This window comes from Homo sapiens, chromosome 2, assembly GCF_000001405.40.
Source record: "Homo sapiens chromosome 2, GRCh38.p14 Primary Assembly".
NCBI lineage: Eukaryota > Metazoa > Chordata > Mammalia > Primates > Hominidae > Homo > Homo sapiens.
The window spans coordinates 107,464,665-107,489,618 of NC_000002.12; the positions used below are offsets into that span (position 1 = coordinate 107,464,665).

Consider the following 24,954-nt stretch of genomic DNA (forward strand, 5'->3'; position numbering starts at 1 on the left):
TATCATTTATCCAGTGGCTCAGTGCAGAAATTCAGAAGTCAACATGCTTTTTCTCTTTCCATTGTCCTCTCCATCAAATCTATCAACAAAGCTTGACCCAGAAAATATGTATCATACATGATAGCTTGTCTCCATCTTCACTGCTACCACCCTAATGTAAGCCAATATGGGGGTTCTTTTTTTTTCCTTTTGCAGCCTCCTAACTTATCTTTATTATTTGGCTCCACACAACTGCTGGAGTGATATTTTTAATTGCAAATCAGAATACGGTCCACACCTGTTTAAATTGTTTCAGTGGTTGTCTCTGCACCTGAAGTCAAAATCAAAATTTTTAATGTAATTCCAAAGTCCTCCATGACCTGGCTTCTACCTGCTTTGTCAACTGTGTCTCTAACGACTCTGTCACAGTCAAGCTTAGTGTGGCTGGCCTTCTCATTGTTTTTTATCGAATATATCAGACTTGCTACCACATTAAAGCTGTGGCACAAGTGGTTTCCTCTATGTGGAGTCTTTTTCTACTAGATCTTTACATGGCTGCCTCCTTCAAACATTCATGTCTCAGATCAAATTTAATATTATCAGTGAAGTCTTCCTTGAATATCTGATTAGAGTCTTCCTCCCTTCACCTATCGATACCTAACACCTACTATACCTCCAAGTTTCATATTTTCCTCGCACCATTGTCCATATGTGTTTATGGGTATAAATATAAACACAAACTTAGTGGTGAATATAGATAAGTAACGCATACACACTCCCCAAACAAAATTTAATCTTGGTTGGAAAACACCCAGACCTTGTGCTTTTTTTCCTCTAACCTCAAATATTAAGTTTCCATCTTCTATACGTAGTAGTTGAATCAGGTAAATGACATAATAGATAGAACTTAATGTTCACATCAGAGGCAAATATAATTTTTAAGACACACAGACATCTCTGAGACTTGCTATCTGCTCAGAGAAAAATTACAGGCTGAAAAGATGGAAGGGACAGGAACTTCAATAGAAAATAACAATTAAAGCTTTTAAGAGCCAAGCAAATGGAGAAAGGAAGTAGCATAAAGAATGCAGAGAAAGGCCAGGTGCAGTGGCTCACAATCCCAGCACTTTGGGAAGATGAGGCAGGCAGATCACCTGAAGTCAAGAGTTTGAGACCAGCCTGGCCAACATGGCAAAACCCCGTCTCTACTTAAAATACAAAAATTAGCTGGGTGTGGTGGCACACGCCTGTAATCACAGCTACTTGGGAGGCTGAGTCAGGAGAATCACTTGAACCTGGGAGGCGGAGGTTGCAGTGAGCCGAGATCATGCCACTGCACTCCAGCCTGGGCAATACAGCAAAGACCCCCTCTCAAAAAGAAAAAAAAAAAAAGAATACAGAGAAACACTCGAGGAGGGCAGTCTCAGTAGAACTTGGACAACTGATATGGAAACATCACAGATGCCTGCAGAGAAAAACTCCTTTTTTTTTTTTTAGCTGTCTTTCTCTTTCTATTTCTCCTTGACTGTAATTGAAAGTGGGTGGACATGTGTACATAAACTGCTCAAATCCCTTGGGTCTGATGACACATGTGAGATGAGCTGGAAGTCTCCTCCAAACTAGACTGAAAACCAGGACACAACTGGTGTCCTATTTTTCTTGCAAATAATTGGCTATTTGCAAGAAATAGCCATTTCAACCATGATTCTGCTTTCAAACTTTCCTTAATTGCTGAATACCAATAGACACTGCTTTGTTGAGCATTCCCAAACTGAAGACAGAGGGACCATTTGTTGGCTTCCAAGAGGCTGCTTGCCACGGGCAATGTCAGTGTTCTGGAAGTGTGCATTCTTCCTATCAGAGTGAGCAGAAGAGAGCATTTCAGCAGCCAAAGCACAGTAAAACATTAAGTTGATAGAAGACAATGAGTATAGGATGGCGCATTGGTTCAATACACTGTGGGAATTCATGGATATGCACCAATTGCCTCTTTAGCTGTCCCTCAGAGTGCCCCAGAATTCAGGAAGTATAAAGTCAGGAAAGCACACAGTAAATAACTAGACATTAGACATATCACAGAATGAGATTGCATTGCATTTTTTTTTTGCCCAGGAGCCAACTGCAGTTTCAACAACCTCAGGTAAACTGCTTTTTTGTGCACATCTGAAATCAAGGCCATTCAGAAGCAGTAAGAGCTGGTCAGCACCTGATAGCCTGAAATGGCCATGTGTGCACTTTCACGCTCCAAAATAATTTGATCTGTATAACCTGGGAAAGCAGCTCCTCGTGGGATGAGGAATGTTTATGTAGATTGGTAAAGTAGCACACAGAAGCTGCAAAACTTCAGGAACAGGAAAAATCATGATCAGAGAATAAACTAGTGTTAAATAAGTGAAGTGCTGGGCTATCAGCATGAGCGTAGTGCATGCAAATATGCCTCAGGTAATTTAACACTAATTACTAAAAAGCTGTGTTTTTCTGACCTTCTCTCCCACATTCCTCTCTGCTTATGCATATTTGGCTTTCCTGTATTTCTTTTTCTCGGTTTAGTCTTTATTAGGTCAACTAGGAGAGTGCAACACATGGCTGTGACTGTAATATAAAATGTTGGGCTTATTTGGGGATTTCCATATAGACATCTTCAGCAACTCCAGCAATCCCCACAGGAGGTATAGAGTCTTTTAAATATATGTGTATGCTTAAATATATTCATGTGTTTATTTCTACTAATACCTACACAGTATGACTATTTCAACTTTGCTCTGCTTGTAAATCTAATAGAACAAAATCCAAAAAAAAAGGAAATCAGAGTTACAGTTTATTCAAGCAAGATCTCCATTACAGACTTAAGTGGCCTCTGACCTTCAAGGAGGAATTTCTGCCAACACAGAGCTATGAAAAGCAGATAAGGGATTGAAAAACCTTGCTAAGTTGTCTCTGAGAGTTATTGTAGATAGATGCTATTTGAAAGACTGAAAAGGATTTAAATATGTAACACTGTTGCAATAGTTCTCACTGGATTATGCAAAAGACTTCTCGCTGACTCTTAAGCACAGATTCGTTAATGCTTTGCTCTGTTTACCTCATCTTCCAATATACTATGTGTTTGCTTTTAGCTGGGGTTACCCACTGCTTCCTGAGTCTCCCTTAATCATCTCACACTAGATAACACCTCCATCATGTTGGAAAATAAGAATACAAACTGAAATCCAGTGTTACATTTTTCATCATCAATTGTTGTCAAAACCCAAGTAAGAAGAACATGAAAAGATAATCATTGGCACTGAAGAATATAGCATTCTATTCTTCCGTAATATAGTAAATTTTATTTTTGGCTACATATTACTTATGAGTCTCATCTACTACTAGACTATAAAGTCCATAGGAACAAAGACTGACTCTTGGTCATATTTTATTCATAGCATCTAGCAAATGTCTGGCACATCCTTGGCTCACATTGAATAGTTGAATTATTTTTTTTTTAATAAAAGCTCATTGGAAGAGTTCGTGGCCACACATGGTGGCTCACATTTGTAAAGCTAGCACTTTGGGAGGCCGAGGTGGGAAGATCTCTTGAGTCCACCTGTTTGAGACCCACCTGGGCTTCACAGCGAGACCTCCTCTCTACAAAAAATAAAAAGGTAGCTTGGCATGATTCTGTGTGCCTGTAGTCCCAGCTATTCAGGAGACTAAGGCAGGGGGAACCCACAGAGCCTGGGAATTCAAAGTTACAGTGAGCCATCGGGTCCGGAATTGGTGGGTTCTTGGTCTCACTGACTTCAAGAATAAAGCCACGGACCCTCACAGTGAGTGTTACAGTTCTTCTAGACGGTGTGTCCGGAGTTTGTTCCTTCGGACCCTCAAAGTGAGTGTTACAGTTCTTATAGACGGTGTGTCCGGAGTTTGTTCCTTCTGATGTTCGGACGTGTTCGGAGTTTCTTCCTTCTGGTGGGTTTGCAGTCTCGCTGGCTTCAGGAGTGAAGCTGCAAACCTTTGCGGTTGAGTGTTACAGCTCTTAAGACAGCACATCCGGAGTTATTCATTCCTCCCCCTGGGTTCATGGTCTCACTGCCCTCAGGAGTGAAGCTGCAGACCTTCGTGGTGAGTGTTACAGCTCATACAGCCAGCGCGGACCCAAACAGTGAGCAGCACCAAGATTTATTACAAAGAGCGAAAGAACACGGCCTCCACACTCTGGAATGGAACCAAGCAGCTTGCTGCTGCTAGCTCAGGCAGCCTGCTTTTATTCCCTTCTCTGGCCCCACCCACATCCTGCTGATTGGTCCATTTTAGAGAGAGCTGATTGGTCCGTTTTGACAGGGTGCTGATTGGTGGGTTTACAATCCCTGAGCTAGACAAAAGTTCTCCAAGTCCCCACTAGATTAGCCAGACACAGAGCATTGATTGGTGCATTTACAAACCTTGAGCTAGACACAGGGTGCTGATTGGTGTATTTACAAACCTTGAGCTAAACACAGAGTGCTGATTGGTGTATTTACAATCCATTAGCTAGACATAAAGGTTCTCCAAGTCCCCACTAGATTAGCTAGGTACTGAGTGCTGATAACTGCATTTACAAACCTTGAGCTAGACACAGAGTGCTGATTGGTGTATTTACAAACCTTGAGCTAGACACAGAGTGCTGATTGTATTTACAATCCCTTAGCTAGACATAAAGGTTCTCCAAGTCCCCACCAGACTCAGGAGCCCAGCTGGCTTCACCTAGTGGATCCTGCACCAGGGCGCGGGCAGCCAGTACCGTGCCATGTGCCTGCACTCCTCAGCCCTTCGGCGGTTGATGGGACTTGGGACCGGGCTCAGCGGAGCAGGAGGAGGCGCTGGTCGGGGAGGTTCCCGCGGGCGTGCAGGAGCCCACGGAGGCGGAAGCTCAGGCATGGCGTGCTGCAGGTCCCCAGCCCTGCCTCGCGGGGAGGCAGCTGAGGCCCCGCGAGAATTCGAGCGCATTGCCCCTCACTGCCCTGGGCCGCTCCGAGTGCGGGGCCCGCCAAGCCCACGCCCACCCAGAATTCGCGCTGACCCCTGAGCGCTATGCGCAGCCCGGGTTCCCGCCCTGCTTCTCCCTCCACACCTCCCCGCAAACAGAGGGAGCTGGCTCCGGCCTGGGACAGCAGAGAGAGGGGCTCCCACAGTGCAGCGGCAGGCTGAAGGGTTCCTCAAGCATGGCCAGAGTGGACGCCATGGCCTGAGGAGGTGCCGAGAGGGAGCCAGAGCTGCTAGGACGTTGTCACCTCTCACCATGATTGTGCCACTGCGCTCCAGCCTGTGAAGACTTTGTTTAAAGGTTATAGATTTTAATCTATCTATTAATCTAGTAATAAAATAATTGGAGGAGGTGAGAAACTATAGGTTCAATTTGTTACAGGATATTAGAAGGTAAATAATATTATAAGGTTCATAATATTGAAAGGTGAAAATATATTTCACATTCATTTAGTCACTAATCTTTAATCCCTATTATGTGCTACAGAAACAACAGTGAAGAAACACAGATCCCTACCACAAATAGCTAGAATGGGAATGTGAGAAAGTAGACAAGATACACACACGCACACACACACACACAAACATATTTGACACAGCTAAGGGAAACAAGACAGGAAAGAGGGTTGGGAAGTGTGGTGGTAGTTGGTGAGGCACTGACATTTTAGTTGCAGTGACCACGAGAAGCCTTACTCAAGGTACATCTCAGCAAGCACTCAAGGGAAATGTAGGAGTGAGCAAGACTGCTCTGTTGCAAAAGCTCTGAAGAAGCAGCATGTCCATATGCTCATGACATGGCTTGGAGACCAAGCTGGCTACAGTGGACAGAATGACAAGGTAAGGTGTAGCTGAAGTCAGAGAAGCATCATGCAGAACTTCGCAGGTCAGGAAGAGCTTTTATTTATTTACATAGTAATATGGGGATATATTGAGCAGAACTGTGACATAATATGACTACTATTTTAACAGGATCATGCTAGACACTATGTTCAGAAACAAAGATACTAAATACATTTGTTTTAAAAACTTCAAATATTTTAGGCAAATATGGTGATAGCTTAAACTACGCTAGTAGTGGAGGTGATAGTAGGAAGTAAATTCTGGATATATTTCTAATGCATAACCAGCAGCATTTTGTGATATGTGATGGGAAAGGGGGAAAAAAGAGTCAAGAATTATTTCAAGGTTTTGTTCTAAATTGCTGGAAGGATAGACTTGCCATTAATAAGGATAGAGAAGAACACTTTAGAAATTAAGGTGGTATGCGGAAAATGAAGTATCAGGAACTCAACATCTGAATGTGGGAGTCATCAGCACATAGATCCATGAGACTGGATGAGATCACCTACAGAATGAATGTTGATAGGAAATTGAAGAGGTCTGGGGAATACTCAAATTTAGAGGTTGGGATAGTGGGGGAAAGTGACAAAGTAGAGAAAGAACAGCCAGAGAAGCAAGAAGAAAACCAGGTGACAATTGGTTCATGGTAGTCAAGTGAAGAAATAGCTCAAGGGTGAGAATGATCAACTGTGTTGAATGTTAAGGACAAAGGAAGCAAGACGAAGACTAAAAAGTTACCATCAAGTTGTTTCTTAGGTTTTTACTAACATTCCTGTCATATACCCTTTGTTCATAACCAGCATATGTTAATGTTTTGCCTCATTTACATTATAATTCCCCGTATATATCTATATGTAGAATATACATAAGAATCTCTCTATATATATATAGATATGTATTTTTTCTGTATGATTTGTTGAAAACATCATACTTACTCCTAAATAGTTTAGTGTTTCCTAAGAATGAGTACATTCTCTTGTATAATGTCAGTACATTTGGCAAAATTAACAAACTAAAGATTAATATATAATGATGTAACCCATTACCCCATTTAAATTTTGTCCGTTTTCCCAAAAATGTCTCTTATAGTTAATATTTTCCTAGCCCAAGATCAAATGCAGTAGCATACACTGTAATTAGTTTTCATATCTCCTTAGTCTCTTTTAATTCGAAGTAGTTTATCAGCCTTTCCATATCTTTACTGACTTTGACATCTTGTAAGTGTATACATCAATTATTTTTTAGAATGTACCTCAGTTTGAGTTTGTCTGAGGTTGCCTCGTGATTAGACTCTGCATTTTTCGTAGCAATAGCATAACAGTGATACTACATCCTTCTTAGAATATCTTATTCAGAGGCAAATGATGTCAGTTTTTTCCAGTGTTGGTAATGTGAAGTTTGATAACTTGGTAAAGATGGTGTTGGCCAGGTTTCTCTACAATGGAGCTACCATTTTTCCTTTTCAGTAATTTATGGGGAGATAATTTGAGACATGTAAATATTTAGTTTCACATTAAATTTTCACCTGTAACTTGTAAGACAAATTGATAATTTTCTAACCTCATTATTCTTTTTATATTGATTGATTGATACTCTACTGTAAGGAAGAGCTTAATGTTCTTTATTATTTTTTACATGGTTATTTGTTTTGCTTATTTATATCATATATTAATGGATTTTTTAAAATTACACAAAGGATAATAATCTATTACTATAATTATTTATATTTATGCTCAAATTGTTCCAGGACCAGCCATTGCAATCCCATTCATTTAAGCTCCTGTGCCCCTTTGACATGTCACCATTCTCCATTCATCATATCTTCACTTTCTGGTGCAATAAGATGTCCCAAGATCATTGTAGAATTTCCTTGTCCAAGCTGTGGCATTAGGCATTTATCTAAGGAAACATGTTTCCTTTTAGTTAAGAATGATATTTAGAAATAAAGAACTGGTTGTTTGTAGGCCATTTGTATATCTTCCTTGGTGAAGTATCTTTTCAAGTCTTTTCTCCGTTTTTTAATCTGTTTGAGTTTTTATAGTATTCTAGGTAAAAAGCCCTTGTTAGATATATGTGTCTCTAATCTCCAAACCTGTGGCTTAACTATTAGTTTCCTTAAAGATGAGTTTTAATGAGCAATTTAAAAAATATTGATTATGTCTTTTTGTCACTTTTTTCTTTTATGTGTATTGTTTCCTGTGTCCTATTAATTAATCTTTGCCTACATCAAATTTTAACAACAGTTCTCAGTAATGTCATTGGGAATGGCAGATTATAAACTTCCCCAAATCCTATCCTTCATAAAAGCAAAGAGAACCCTGCAAAAAATTTCAAAACCAACTTTTTCAGAACTCTAGGGATTAACCAATGTTTTGCAAGAATCCAGAAGGCATTGTTTTTTAAAGTAGCTAAATGAGGGTTGTGAGTTTTGTGGCATTTTATCTTGCCATATTTTCCAACCCTTTCTCCTGCTTCATGGTGTCTTTGACAACTCACAGCTACAGTGAAAACCATAATCCTAGCACCACTGGAGGAGTCAGTATAAATTGAGCTCTTTCAAAACTCCATTCTCAGAGATTAGTATTATTTGACCTATCTGGCATTTCTTTGTGGAAACTCAATCCCAAGACTGGTTTTTATTTTATTTGATATGACTCTTAGCTGAATTGTGCACAAATAGTATTTTCTTCAGAGGTGTTTAGCAAAAAGAATCAGCAGCAATTGTTTAATGTTGTAGCTGCCTGAGGAGGTGATAACAATTGGGACAAATAAGCTAATGAAAAATCTGTTAAGGACAAACTAGAAAATAAGATGTTAGCAGTGGGCCTTGAGAAATTCAGGCACATTCCTGGGAATCCAGAAAGTCACTCTAACATGCAGAACCATTCATATCCTCAGAAAAGATTGGAGGAGGACCTAAGCTTTCACATCTGACTGGCTTCAAGACTCTGTAAAAGGAGAAAATGAAGGCAAGACAGAGTTATAAACTGCCTGAGTGTTGCAGGCATGTTCCCCCACACATGCAGAACTCCCCAACAAAAACTGGAGGCTTATTGTTTTCTGGAACTAAAGAAACAAACAAAAATAGCAACAAATCTGTTCATTCAGTAAATGATTACTAAAGTAACCAAATAATGCTGTCAGTGGTCACTTACAACAAAGTACATAGACTTAAAGAATTAGTTTAGAAAGGTTTCTAAACAACAACAAGGAAAACAACAAATAGCAACAATAACAAATTCTGAAGAGGAGGGAGAATCTGATTTATATTATATTATATTTATTATATTATACCATAGCATATTATATTTAGTATTTATTATAATACATTTATATGTTATATTAATTTAAAAGTCCACTTTTCAAAAAATATTATGAGACATGAAAAGAAATATGAAAGTATAGACCGTACATAAGAAAAAAGCAAACAATACAAACTTTTCATGAGGAAGCCCAGATTTGGACTTACTTGACAAAGACTTTGAACATTTTAATACAGTCAAAGAAATTGAAACCACATCTGAAGAATTAAATAAAGTATGAGCACAATGTCTCACTGAATAGAAAAAATAAAAAATAAAAACATAGAAATGCAAAACAACAAGCCAGATTAAACTTCTGGAGTTGAAAATCTAGTATCTGAAATGGAAAATATACCACTAGAGGGAATCAACAGCAGTTTCAAGTGGACAGAGAAGATAATCTGTACACTTAAGATAGATCAATTGAGGTTATACAGTCTAAGAAACAGAATTTTTAAAATTAATAAAAATAAAAGTCTCATGCTCTACTGACTGAGCTAGCTGGGCTTCCAAAAATTAATAAAAATAAAAAGAGCCTTTTAAAGTTTCGAGGCAACATCAATTACATCAACATATTTATAATGGGAATTCTAGATGCAGATGAGAAAAGAAAGTGGAAAGAATATTTGAAGATATAATGGCTAATAACTCCTCAAATTTATTGAAAACATTATATACACACCCATAAAACTCAAGGGCATATGCAAATAGGATAAACTCAAAGATATACCCAACTAAATACATCCATGATTAAACTCTCAAAAGTCAAAGACTAAGAATCTTGAAAGCACCAAGGAAAAAAGGACTCATTATGTACAAAGCAGCCTGAATGAAATCCTGTCAGACATCATAGAAGCCAGAACACAGTGAGGTGGTATATTCAAATCAAAGGAAAAGAAAAAAGAAAACTATCAACGAAGAATTCTGCATTCAGTAAAACTGTTCTTTAAAACTTAAGGAAGAATTCAAGGCCAGGACACTGTGGCTCATGCCTATAATCCCAGCACTTTAGGAGGCCAAGGCAGGTGGATCACCTGAGGTCAAGAGTTCAAGACCAACCTGGCCAACATGGTGAAACCCTGTCTCTACTAAAAATACAAAAATTAGCTGGGTGTGGTGGCGCTTCCCTGTAATCCCAGCTCCTCAGGAGGCTGAGGTAGGAGAATCGCTACCCGGGAGGCAGAGGTTGCCGTTAGTCAAGATCGTGCCACTGCACTCCATTCTGAGTGGCAGAGCGAGACTTTATCTCAAGAAAAAAAAAAAAAAACTTAAGGAAAAATTCAATGTATCTATATAATAAACACAGAGAATTTGCTTTATTAGAGCTATTCTACAAAAAGCATCAAGAGGTATATCTTAAAGTAAAATGAAAAAAAAACTACATAGCTACACAGTAACTTGAATCCACATGAAGAAAAGTCAACAGTAAAAGTAAGTATGTCGGTCAATATAAAACAAAGTATAAATATATGTTTGTATGTAACACTTTATTTTATTTGACTTAAAAGCAATCGCATAAAGCAATTATAAATTTGTGTTCATAGGCATACAATGTATAAACAGGGAATTTATATGTCAATAATGAAAGAAACGAGGAAGTACAAGCAGAGATATATAGATGTGGACTTTTTAAAAAATGCTCTTGAAATGAAGCTGGTGTTAATGTGAAATAAATTTTTATGAATTAAGATGGTAATTGTAATCCCCAGGGTAACCAATAAGGAGCTAATTTTAAACATATACAGTAGAAGAAATGATAGTGAGTTAAACTGGTACATTAAAAAAAACCATCTATTTAACATAAAAGAATGCAATAATGGCTGGGCACGGTGGCTCATGCCTGTAATCCCAGCACTTTGGGAGGCCGAGGCGGGCAGATCACCTGAGGTCGAGATTTCAAGACCAGCCTGACCAACATGAAGAAACCTCATCTTTACTAAAAATGCAAAACTGGCCAGGGTTGGTGGCACATGCCTGTAATCCCAGCTACTTGGGAGGCTGTGGCAGGGGAACTGCTTGAACCCAGGAAGTAGAAGTTTTGGTGAGCCAAGATTGTGCCATTGCACTCTGGCCTGGGCAACAAGACCGAAACTGCATTAAAAAAAAAAAAAAATCCCCCCCCCAACAAAAGTATGCAATAATGGAGAAGTTGAGAAACAAACAAGACATAACATTGGAAACAAATTTTAAAATTGAAGACATAAATCCTACTTTATCTTTAATTACATTAAATGTAAATGGATTAAATACTCCAACCAAAAGACAGAGGCTGACAGAACGGATTAGGAAAAAACAAACATGATCTAAACATATGCTGTATACAAGAGATACACTTTAGATTCAAAGACACAAAAAGGTTGAAGGTGAAATTATAAAAAAAGATATACTATGCAAACAATAACAAAAATAGATGTGGAAAAGTAAAAGTGATACTAATACCAGACAAGATATTTCAAAGGCAGAAGGTGTTATTAGACACAAAGGAGGATATTTCACAATGACACAAGAGTCATTATTTCAAGATGTTATAATACTTATAAATATATATGTACCTAAAAACAGAACCCAAAATATATAAATCAAAAATTGACAGAATTGAATGGAATAATAGACAATTTGACATTGAAGGTATTAATATCCTACTTCTAATTATAAATAGAATAACTACACAGAGAGTCAACAAAAAAAAGACTTTATCAAGGCATTGAACTAACTAAACTTAACAGACATTTATACAACATTCCACCAAACAACTGTAGAAAACAAATTTTTTACAATTGCTAAAAAAAATTCTCCAGGATAGATAATATGCTAAGTCATATGGCAAACCTCAATAAATTAAAAACAATTGAAATAATAAAAAGATATTTTTCAACCACAAAAAAGAAGGAAATTTGAAAAATGCACAAATATGTGGAAATTAAACAACACACTCAGAAATAACCAATAGGCCAAATACAAAATCACAAAGGCAATTAAAATATACTTTAGGCCAATTAAAATAAGAATACACCATACAAAATCTTAGGAATCCGTAAAGCAGTGCCAAGAGGAAAATTTATAGCTGTAAACACCCATGTTAAAAATGAAAATGGTCACATATTAATAATCTAAATACCCACCTTAAAATACTGGGAAAATAAGAGAAAACTAAACCCAGAACAGGTTGAAAGAAAAAAAATAATAATGTGAGCAGGAAAAATTAAATAGGGAATTAAAATTTCAAGAATTTCAATGAAATCATCAACTGGTTCTTTGAACAGATAAACAAAATTGATGGCCCTTTAGCTAGACCAAGAAATAAGACCCAAACTAAATCAGTGAAGAGAAAAGCATATTAATACTGACATTAAAAAGCAAAAAGGATTATAAATAAATATGATTACCATTTTTGTGCAAATACATTATATAATATACATGAAATTAAGAAATTTATAAAACTGACTCTAGAACAGATGAAAAATATGAAAAGAGATGTAAAAGAAAAGTGATGAAATTACTAAATTAAATGTAGCACACACACATTTACAAACACACACAGAAATACAATACTCCAGAACAAGATGGTTTCACTGACAAATTCTTTAAATTATTTAATTAAAATTAGACTAATTATTTTAAAACTCTTCTTAAAATAGAAGTCAAGAGAACTTTTTGTAACAGGTTCTATGAGGCCATTTTTACCCTGGTAACAAATCAGGCAAATATATTACAGGCAAAGAAAACTACAGACTGTTAGCCCTTATGCATATAGATACAAAAGTGTTCAATGCAATATCAGAAACCAAATCCAGCAACATATAAAAACTATTACAAACCATGATTAAGTGGGATTTATCATAAAGATGCAAAAGTGTCTCAATATACAGAAATCAATCAATGTAACACACCATATTATAAAATAAAGGACAAACACCACATGGTCATTTCAATAGACAAAGACAAAAATGTCATTTAATTAAATACAATAATTTTTCATTATAAAGACACTCAACAAACTATGAATAAAAAAATACTTCCCATATCCTTAACAGTACACTAATACAGGAACAGAAAACCAAATAGAGCATGTTTTCATTATAAGTGGGAGCTAAATGATGAGAACACATGGACACATAGAGGGGACCAACACACAGTGGGGCCTATCAGAGGGTGGAGGACAGGTGGAGGAAAAATAACTAACGGGTACTAGGCTTAATATCTGGGTGATGGAATAATCTGTACAACAAACCCCCATGACACACATTTGCCTATGTAACAAACCTGCACTTGTACCCCTGAACTTAAAAGTTTAAAAAAGATGCTTCCTCATGCAGATAAAAGGCATTTATGAAAAACCCACAATTGACCCACAATTATTCTTCATAGTGAAAGGCTGAAAACTTCCCCTCTATGAGCAGAAACAAGATAGTAATATCTCCTCTTGTTACTTCTATTCAACATTCTACTTGAGGTTCTATTCAAGGCAAATGGACAAGAAAAAAGAATTAAAGGCATTCAAATTGGAATAGAAGAAGTAAAACTATTCCTAGTCACAGATGACAGGATCTTGTATGTAAGAAAACCCAAGAAGTGCTCCTCACTGCAAAAAAAGCCTCTTATAAGTGATGAATGAATCCACAGGTTGTGATATACAAGATCAATATATAAACATTAATTATCTTTTTATACACTATGAACTATCCTAAAATGAAATTAAGAGAAGAATTTTATTTACTGCAGAATAGAAAAGAATAAAATTCGTATAATACATAAATATCTAAATAAATTAAGGATATTTTGTGTTCATGAGCTATAATATTTAATATTGTTAAGAAAGTAATACTCCCCAAATTGATCTACAGATTTAATGCAATCTCTGTCAAAATTCTAGCTGCTTTTGCTGTTATCCTAAATTTCATATGGAAATACTTGAGACCCAAAATAGTCAAAACAATCTTAACAAAAAAAGAACAAATTCGGAAGACTCAACTTCCCAATTTCAAAACTTACTAAAAAGCTGCAGAAATCAAGACAGCATGGTATTGGCATAAGGATAGATGGATAGACATATGTATCAACGAAAGAGAATTGAAAGCCCAGAAATAAATCCATATATCTATGGTCAATTGATTTTTGACAAAGGTTCCAAGGCGATTCAATGGAAAAAAATGTTCTTTCCAACAAATGGCGCTGGAAAACTGGATATCTATGTAAAAAAGAATGATGTTGAACTTACTAAGTTAACAACACATAGAAAATTAACTCAAGAAAATCAAAGAATTAAATTCAAGAAATAAAACTAAAACCTATTTAGTTAGAAAACATGACCATATATCTACATAACCTTGGATTAGGCATGGTTTCTTAAATATGACATGAAAAACACAAGTAAGAAAAAATAGATAAATTGAAATATTTTAAATTATTTTATAATTCAACAAGGGATAACTTTGTAACTTTTTTTTTTTTTTTACAGATGGAGTCTCGCTCTGTCACCAGGTTGGAGTGCAGTGGCAAGATCTCCCCTCACTGCAACCTCCACCTCACGAATTCAAGCGATTATCCTGCCTCAGCCTCCTGAGTAGCTGAGACTATAGGTGCATGCCACCACTCCCGGTTAATTTTTGCAATTTTTTTAGTAGAGACGGGGTTTCACCATGTTGGCCAGGATGGTCTCGATCTTTTGACCTCATGATCCGCCTGCCTTGGCCTCCCAAAGTGCTGGGATTACAGGTGTGAGCCACTGCGCCCGGTCAACTTCTTCACTTTTCCAGCTCAAACATCTTTCTCTCATCTCCTCAAATATGCGAAATTAGAGAAGATTAGAAGAATTGTTCTTACATAGTTGTCATAACAAGGGAAATTACACTTTTGGTAAAGATACTTTATTGTGACCAAGTTGACAAGATCTTAGGTCCTAAGAAACGAAAAAGGCAGAGAAAGATCTCTGGCTCTGTGCTCCAAGGCTACCTTCTGTCCTTTGCTCCTCTGCAAATGACTTTCATCAGTTAGTGCTCTCGTGTGGCACGATTCAACTTTTTTTTTTTGTCTCAGCATTTTGTATATGTTGTAAAGTACAGGTTATATTGTTTTTGCATACAGGTATCAAAATATTTCAGCACAATATTTAAAAGACTATCCATAACCCATTGATTTACATTAGCATTTTATAAAAAAATTAAACACAAATTTGTGTTTATTCATAGACTTTCTGTGATTTTCCATTGATCTATAAGTGTACTGTTACACCAACACCACAGTGTCCTGATTACTGACATCTTGAAATCAGGCAGTAAAATTCTTCCATTTTGTCCTTCTTTTATACAATTTTTATTCTAGGTTATTTATATTTTACATTACTTTCAGATAAGCCAGTTAATTTTTGCAAAAAAAAAAAAAAAAAAACACGTTGAGGTGTTGATTGGGATTATCTTGCTGCTAGAGGTTAATTTGGGAACACTTTAAATCTTAATATCAAGTCTCTCAATTAATGAACGTTATGTAACTCATCATATATATAGGTCTCTTTAAATTTCTCTTAGCAATACTTGGTAGTTTTGGGCATACATGTCTTCTAGATTTTTTGTTAAATTTATCCAGTACTATTTCATATTTTTGCTGTCATTGTAAATGGTTTTTTTTATTAAACTGTCAATTATGTGTACATATTACTATATACATGTATTATATACATATATATACATATATTATGTGTATATATTACATATACACAACATATACAATGTATATATTACATATACACATAATTGTATGTGTTGTAAAGTAGAGGTTAAATTGTTGTATATTGTTATTATTACTTCTGAAATATTCAATGAATTTAACAGTTAACTTATCTGACAATAGGAATGTCTTTGTGTGAAGATTGATATTTAGAATGCCCATTCATTTCATAGATACAGAGGACTCTTCTTGGGATGCTTTGGCAGTTTGTATCTGAAAAAAATTTTCCATTCTATCTAAGTTTTATAATTAATTAAAACAAATATGTTAATAATAGTTTTTATTAGTTTTTTAATGTTTGTAGTATTGATAGTAATGTCCCCCTTTTCACTTCTGCTATTGGTAATTTATTTCATTTTTATTTCTGATCATTCTAGATAGGCTTTATCAAATTAATTGATTTGTTCAAAGACATGTCTTTTTATTTTATTATTATTATTATATTGGTACTTTCTATTTTATTGATTTCTACTCTTAGCATTATTATTACTTTTATTCTACTACCTTGGGCATAAATTGCTCTTCTTTTTCCAGACCTTTAACTTAGAAATATGTAGGAAATATGTAACTAGGAAATATTAAAACTAATGGCAAAAACCACAATTACTTTTGCATTGACATATAGTTACAGCCTTGAGAAATTATATTTTCCTAATATTTGCTTTTAGTGCTATAAATTTCCCACTAAGCACTGTTTTAACTTCATCTTACATATTTTATATGCTGTGATGTTATTATCATTGTAATTACTCTTTTCCTTTTTGATTTCTGTGTTCAGTTTTTAATTTTTACGAATTACATATATCTTTCACTTACTGACTTTTTAGTTGAATTTTGTTGCAATCTGATAACTTATTTAATGTGATTTCTGATTTTGAAAATTTTAAAAACTGTTTAATGGCTCAAAATATAGCCTACCTTCATGAAGCTTCCTCATCTCTTGAAAATATCTAATCCGCGGTTACATGATGGAGTTTTCCATAGTATCAGGTAGGTTCATTTAGTTGATATCATTGTTCAAATGTCCTATATCCTTACTAATTTTCTCTCTAATTGCTGTATCAATTACTATAAGAGTATATAAGAATAAAGAGGTTTTTTTTAGCTATAATTGAAAATTTGTCTGTTTTATTTGTTTGGTTTCTTTGTTGTTGTTTTTCCATGAGTTACTGATTCCTGTATTTTGAAATGCTATTATTAGATAAATACACATTTAGGATTGTGATTACCTCTTAAAAATTTTACCCCTTTTCTGATTTCTTAATTCTTTATGTAAAGTATATACAATTATTATTGTCACATTGACTTTGTTTATCCATCATTTTCCCTTTATGTCTTTTCTGTTTTCTTTTGAGATTTTATATTTTTACAGTTTTTTAAATAGATTTCTTATTCACTATTGCCTTATTAGATATATCTGATAAACAATATCTGATTGTTTTATTATATAGTAGTCACTCTAAAGTTTGCAAGATGCATCTTTAATTATCACAAATTACCAAAAAAGGTAAAATACCACTTTATGCATAATATACTTCTATTACCTCCTTCTGTTATTGCACATTCTACTTTTACTTTTGCTAGAAACATATTCATATATGTGTATGCATGTGGTGTGTGTGTGAGTGATGTGTTATTTTATAAATACATTGTGCTATAAACATAGATTTTTAGTTTAAGCTTTTTTTATTAATTAATTTTTTTTGTTTTTGAGATAGAGTCTCACACTGTCACCCCAGCTGGAGTGCAGAGGCATGATCTCCGCTCACTGCAACCTCTGCCTCCCGGGTTCAAGCGATTCTCCTGCCTCAGCCTCCTGAGTAGCTGGGGTTACAGGCGCCTGCCACCACTCCTGGATAATTTTTTGTATTTTTAGTAGAGACGGGGTTTCACTATGTTGGCCAGGCTGATCTCAAACTCCTGACCTCGTGATCCGCCCACCTTGGCCTCCCAAAGTGCTGGGATTACAGGTGTGAGCCACTGCACCTGGTTAGTTTAAGCTTTTTTAAATAATCAATTATCTGTTAAATATATTGAATAATAAAATATATTTTATATTTCTCACATGTGTATTATTTCCAGTGCTTTTTAATCTTTCTTATAGGTCCAAATTTCCATCTGACATTATTTTAATTATTCTTGATCAGTTTCATCTAACATTGCTTATAGTGCAGGCCACTGGAAATGAAATGTCTCACATTGTGGTTTGAAAAAAAAAGGCCTTTATTTGGTCTTCAATTTTGAGAGCTATTTTACTGGTAAGGAATTCTAGGTTCACAGGTTTTTCTTTTCCTCTGTTGAGTACTTTAAAGATGTCTCTCCATCAAGTTTCAGCTTTCATAGTTCCTGATAAGACATCTTCTGATCTTTGGTCCTCTGTGTGCACAATGTGTATTTTTATTCTTTGGCTACTTTTCTTTCTCTTTACATCTCATTTCAAGTCATTTGATTATCACGTGGATTTGGTGGTTTTCCTTATATTTATTTTGCCTGAGGTCACTGAATTTCTTGGATTTTTAGGTTTATAATTTTCATCAAATTTTGCAAACTTTTGGACATTATTACCTCAAATAACTTTTCTGTCTCCCATTTTCTCTTCTCATTTGGGGGCTTCAATTATACATATGTTAGTCTACATTAATCTTCTCTGTAAGTCCCCAGTGATCTGTTTATTTTTTCTTTACTCTTTTTTTCTCATGGTACTTTATTATGGACAGTTTCTATTCTCATGTCTTAGTTTACTGATTTTATCTTCTGTACTATCAAATCTGTTCTTGATCTCATCCTATATATATGAGTTATATATATATGTATACAGGTAGAAGATATATATATGTATATATGTAGAAGATATATATGTATATATGTAGAATACATATACCTATATAACATAATATATGTATGTATGTGAATATGTTTATATTACTTATATATTATATACAAGTGTGTATATTCATTATACAAAATTATATACCATATGCACATGTGTACATATATATGACACAAACATATATTTATATTATGTGTATATATGATATATAATATACATATGATATGTATACATATGATGATACATGATATACTATGATATATATCATATATACCATAAAAACACATGTATTTTATATGATATATGTCCATGTGTATTTATTATATATACACTTGTGTATATAGAGTATATATGATATATATCTCATATATATGCATACATAGTATATATGACATATATATAAACACATTTCAGATATATTTTTCATCTCTTGAATCTCTATTTAAATTGCTTTCATATCTTCATTTTTCTTCTCATTGTGGTCATTCTTTCTGCTACTTATTTGACTATGTATACCATATTTATAATGGTTGCTTTAGTGTCCTTGTTTGCTAATTCCATCATGTCTTATTTCTTGATATGGTTCTATTGGTTGATTTTTTTCTCTTGTTTATGAGTTCTATTTTTCTGCTCTTTGCATACCTGACAATTTTTTCTTCTTCTTCTTCTGGATACCAAACACTGAATTTTACTTTGTTGGTTCCTAGATTTTGTTGTATTTCTATAAATAGTGTTGGATTTTTGTTTTGGTTTTAAGTGTTTAGAATGGGCCTGGGGCAACCTTTAGCCTGGGACTTATTTTTCCCCAGGTGGTGTGCTTTGAAGGACTCTACTTGATTCCCCATATATTATGAGGTCTTTCCATTTTGACAGGTGGGAATGTAAAATATTACTAGTTCTGGTTGATCCCCAGAAAATTTCCTGTCTACTTATTTCTACTTATTTTCTTTTTTTCTTTTTCTTTTTTTTCCTTTCTATTTTTTTTTTTTTTTTCGTCTTAGATATTTCCCTCCCATGCAGTGCATATCAGCACTCAGTGTCCCAGGGCATTCTGATTCTTTCTCTTGGTGCATCTACCTTCTCTCTTCTATTTTTTCCCACAATTTCTCACTGCCAACTCTTCCAGATCGCTGATCTCAGCCCAGGAAAATGGCTAGATTCTGTTTGGATCCCCCCTCCCTGAAATGTAACCTGAAAACTTTAGGAATCACAGCTCTGTGCTGACTGTAGTCCACATCTGCAAACTATTGTTTCATATGTTTTGGCTATGTTTACAGTTAAGTCAGGATGGTAAATCCAGTTTCTTTATTCCATTTTGACCCAGATAAGAATATTCTCTCTCTCGTCTACTTTTTAACTTTCCTTATTTTCTCTTTCTCCATATGTCACTAAGAGAAAATACAAAAAACACATAGTAGTAGTTACTTCAAATGGAAACATTAAGCTATGGTATGTAAAAGCCATTGCAATGATGTTACTCAGCCTTTCCCATCCTGAAGGAATTGCCTCAATGAAAAGTTTATAAATTTGCTATAAACTAATCAGAATTCTCAATTATTGTTTCAGTTTAGTGGGAATTCAAATACATGTCAAGTTATTTAGAAAAACAGGGCGAAACTGCATTTCTAAGTATGTACTCTGTTGAATGCTAGTTTTAAGGAATGTTAGAAAATAACAGTCTTGTAGAAAGAGTTTGGGAAGCCTCAGTTAAATTAAAATCATGTTTCTTTATTGTTGCACTTCTAAATTAAATATACTTTTTATGCTTATGTGAATTGCAGATTTTGATTGTTCTCCAAAATAATATGCTCTTAGCACACTCCTATTGAGCAATATACTTAAAGAATTAACAGTTTTGAGAATGCCAAGATGAAGAAGAGTTTAATATTATAAACTTAGAAAGGTATAAATTATTACATTATGCTTCAATCAAGATATGCATTTTGGCTGAGTACGGTGGCTCACACCTGTAATCTCAGCACTTTGGGAAGCTGAGGCAGGCGGATCACTAGGTCAAAAGATTGAGACCATCCTGGCCAATATGGTGAAACTCCATCTCTACTAAAAATACAAAAATTCACTGGGCATGGTGGTGGGTGGCTGTAATTCTACTTGAGGCTGAGGCTGGAGAATCATTTGAACCCAAGAGAGAGAAGTTGTAGTGATCTGATATTGTGCCACTGCACTCCAAACCTCATGGTAAAATTTGACCCCTTGGAGATGGGGCTAATGGGAGGTGTTTGGGTTATGGGGTGAATCCCTCATGAATGGCTTGGTGCCATCCTCATAGTATTGAGTTTTCGCTCTATTAGTTCCTGTTAGAGCTGGTCACTAAAAAGAGCCTAGACCTCCCCTCTCTCTCTTCCTCCCCTCTTCCTCTTTGGCCATGTGATCTCTGCACTCCAGCTCCCCTTTGCCTTCTGCCATGAGTGGAATCAGCCTGAGGCCTTCACCAGGTGCCCAATCTTCCAGCCAGCAGAATCATGAGCCAAATAAGTCTTTATAAATTATCTAGTCTTAGACATTCCTTTATAGTAACGCAAATGGACAAAGCAATGGTATTGTATTTTTAATTTTGATTTCCACATATTTGTTGTATTAAAAGGTGAATGTTTTTGTGTGTTGATCTGTACCTTGTGAACTTGTTGGACTCACATATTGATTTTAGAGAAGTTTTTGTAGATTCTTTATGATTTTCCTCATTGGGTCATCAGCAATTAGTGACAGTTTTCTTGTTTTTCCAATTTTTATGCTTTGCCCCTTGTATTGCTCTAGTAGAACATCCAGTGCTATGCTGAATAAGAATAGTGAGAACAGACATCCTTGTTTTCTTTCTGATCTGAGGAGAAAAACATTCAGCCTTTCACTGTTAAATTTCACTCAGTTTCTTATACCTATAGGTTTATGTTTTTAAAAAATTTGGGACGTGTTTGGACATTATTTCACTGTTTTTTCAGTCCCACTAATTATCACCTTTCTTTCTGGGACTTGAATGATATTAAGTTCTCTTGTGAATGTTCCATAGGAACCCAGGTGATATGGTTTGGCCCTGTTTCCCCACTCAAACCTCATCTCAAATTGTAATTCCCACATGTCGAAGGAGGGACATGTAATGTTAAGGGAGGTTTCCCCCATGCTGTTTTCGTGATAGTTGAGTGAGTTTTCATGAGATCTGATGGTTTTATAAGTGTTTGACAGCTCCTCCTTCACACACCCTGTCTCACCTGCTGCCATGTAAGACGTGCCTGCTTCCCCTTCCACCAGGATTGTAAGTTTCCTGAGGCCTCCCCAGCCGTGCAGAACTGTGAGTCAATTAAACCTCTTTTTTAAATAAATTACCCACTCTCGGGTATTTCTTTATAGCAGTGTGAAAATGAACTAATACACCATGTCTCTGTTTAATAATTTTGTATTTCAGTCTATTTTCTCTATGTTGTTCAAATTGAATAAATTAAATTGATTTGTCCTCAAATTCACAGATTCTATCACCTGCCATGTCTACTCTACTAATGAGCTAATCCATCAAGTGTTTTATTTTGCTGTAGTTTTCGGTCCTATAATTTTTATTTAGTTATTTTTGGTAGTTTCTATTTCTTTGTGGAAATTAGGTTTTTTTTCCATTTGTTTCCAGATAATTTTAAGTTTCTTGTTATTTTTGGTAGTTTCTATTTCTTTGCTGAAATTGGTTTTTTTTCCCCCATTTGCTTCCAGATAATTTTAAGTTTCTTATTAAAGTAGTTTTACACTGTTTGCTTTAAAACTCTTTTCAGATAGGCTGGGTGCGGTGGCTTATGCCTGTAATCCCCACACTTTGGGAGGCTGAGGAGGGTGGATCATGAAGTCAGGAGATCAAAACCATCCTGGCTAACACAGTGAAACCCTGTCTCTACTAAAAAATACAAAAAAAAATAGGTGAGTGTGGTGGTGGGCACCTGTAGTCCCAGCTACTCGGGAGGCTGAGGCAGGAAAATGGCATGAACCCGGAAGGTGGAGTTTGCAGTGAGCCAAGATTGCACCACTGCACTCCAGCTTGGGTGACAGAACAAGACTTGGTCTCAAAAAAAAAAAAAAAAAAACTCTTTCCAGATAATTCCAATATAGAAGTCTCCTCTTATCCACAGTTCTGCTTTCTATAGTTTCAGTTACCCTTACCCACGGTCAGCCGTGCTCTGAAAATATTAAATGGAAAATTCCAACAATAAACAACTCATAAGTTTTAAATTGCACACCATTCTAAGTAATGTAATAAAATCTTGTACTGTATTGCTCCTCCCTGCCCTGGACATGAATCATCCCTTTTTCTAGTGTATTCATGCTGCATACACTACCTGTCTGCAGATCTTGGTATCAGATTGAAAATCCATAGTATATATAGGGCTTGGTACTATGTGAGGTTTCAGGCATCCACTGAGGGTCATGGAACATGTCTCATGGACATAGTGAGACTACTCTATCTGATTTTTCTCAGTGTTGTCACTTGTTAATTGACTTTTCTCATTCAAATTGTGTTGGTTCTTGATATGATGAGTGGTTTACATTGTATACTGAACTTCAAATACTATTCAATTAATTAAGTAGTCAACCAAACAATACCCTCGTTGAAGTATAGTTAAAAAACATGGTATGTGAGCATGTTCTGCTTTTCATTGGGCTCCATAGATACCAGCACAGAGCACCAACTCACACTGCCTGATTGCAGATGCGTGGAGTGAAAGTTATCCCAAGGCTTCACTGACACTTTATCTTTCCAGCAAAAATGAGCACCAACTGGTACTGCTTGTTGTCTCCCAGGGGGAGTGTGTCCTCTGCTTCCTGCTGTGTTTCACTGATGCCAATGAGGGAGGAAGCTGAAGACTCAAAAAACACTTTTTTTTTTTTTGCTGCAGGTATGAGGAAGAAGCTTAGCTCCTCACTGGAGCCCACTGATGACATGGATAGGGAGATGGGACAGTGAAGTCAACCAGCTTCATCTCACACCACCTCTTCCCCTTTTTTTTTTTTTTTTTTTTTTTGAGACGGAGTCCCGCTGTTTAGCCCAGGCCGGATTGCAGTGGCGCAGTCTCGGCTCACTGCAAGCTCCGCCTCCCAGGTTCACGCCATTCTCCTGCCTCAGCCTCCCGAGTAGCTGGGACTACAGGCGCCCGCCACCGCGCCCGGCTAATTTTTTGTATTTTTAGTAGAAACGGGGTTTCACCGTGTTAGCCAAGATGGTCTTGATCTCCTGACCTTGACCTCTTCCCCTTTTTAGTGCCAGGTGGGTGAGAGCACGTTCAGCTTCCCACTGGGTCCTTGGGTGGAGTGCTGGTCAGCCTGGCCTTCCTCCACCAGGCTAAATTTCTTGCTGTTTGTAGAGGGTGGAGCCTCCTCCACTCTCTGCTGAATCCTACTGACCCCACCCCCATGGGAAAATCAAAATACTGCCTGCCTCTGCAGGGAGGGGGTGTTGGAGGGCTGCTGCTTGCATAGGTGGATGGGAGGTGGGGTGGGAAATAAGCTCTTTTCAGCCCTTCTGAAGCCTGGGGTCTGCGAGGGTTCTGTTGGTGTTTGCCTAAAGTATGGCAAATATTGTCAACGAACATTTCCATTCTGTTAGGACACCCTTTTCCAAGTTCTTTGGCTAAGGTAACAGGCTTTTCTTGGACCTTTTCTTTGTGTGTGTCTATTAGTAGTTCTGGAGATTCCACAGTACCTTCTCCAGAACATAAGAGTGGGAAAAGGAAGATCCAGGGAATTTGCCATGGTGTCTTTTCCCAAGTCCTCAGTTCACCAGGCAGCCTAACTTCTTCTTTCTACCATCCAGGCTCTTTCTATGCTTGCTCATTCTGATCTAATCCATTTTATACTTGTAAGTGGGAGAACCTGTGAGTAAAGGGGCTACTCCATCTTTTATCCCATCTTTGCTAGAACCATAGGGCAAGATATACTTAAAAATATTTTATGAATACATGATACTTGTACATATTTATAAGGTGCATGTGATACTTTGATAAAAGCATGCAATTGGTAATAATGAAATCTGGGTAATGAGGATATCCATCATCTCAAACATTTATCATTTATTTGTGTTAGGAACATTCCAAAGTTAGATAGAAGGAATAAGTCTCAGTGTTCAATAGCACAAGAGGATGACTATAGTTAACAATAACTTAGGATATATTTCAAAATAGCTAGAAGAAAAGATTTGGAGTGTTCCCAACATAACTATTTTCAAAAAAGCTCTTTTGTCAATAGTAAGACGCCAGTGCTTGGAGGAAAAAGTTACAAATTGTATTCAAATCT

General features: G+C 36.2%; 1 long non-coding RNA gene across 1 annotated transcript in view, besides 1 other annotated feature; it reads right to left on the minus strand.

Moving 5' to 3' along the window:
* LINC01885 (long intergenic non-protein coding RNA 1885) overlaps window positions 1-24,954 on the minus strand; it is a 159,884-nt gene that overhangs the window by 81,977 nt on the left and 52,953 nt on the right. The window lies entirely within an intron of this gene.
* Window positions 4,835-5,335: an enhancer, noted in NCBI's record as "H3K27ac-H3K4me1 hESC enhancer chr2:108085955-108086455 (GRCh37/hg19 assembly coordinates)". NCBI's record gives its function as "activates a minimal SCP1, AML or CMV promoter by ChIP-STARR-seq in naive H9 embryonic stem cells {active_cell/tissue: H9 hESC(naive)}" and the evidence as "EXISTENCE:reporter gene assay evidence [ECO:0000049][PMID:30033119]".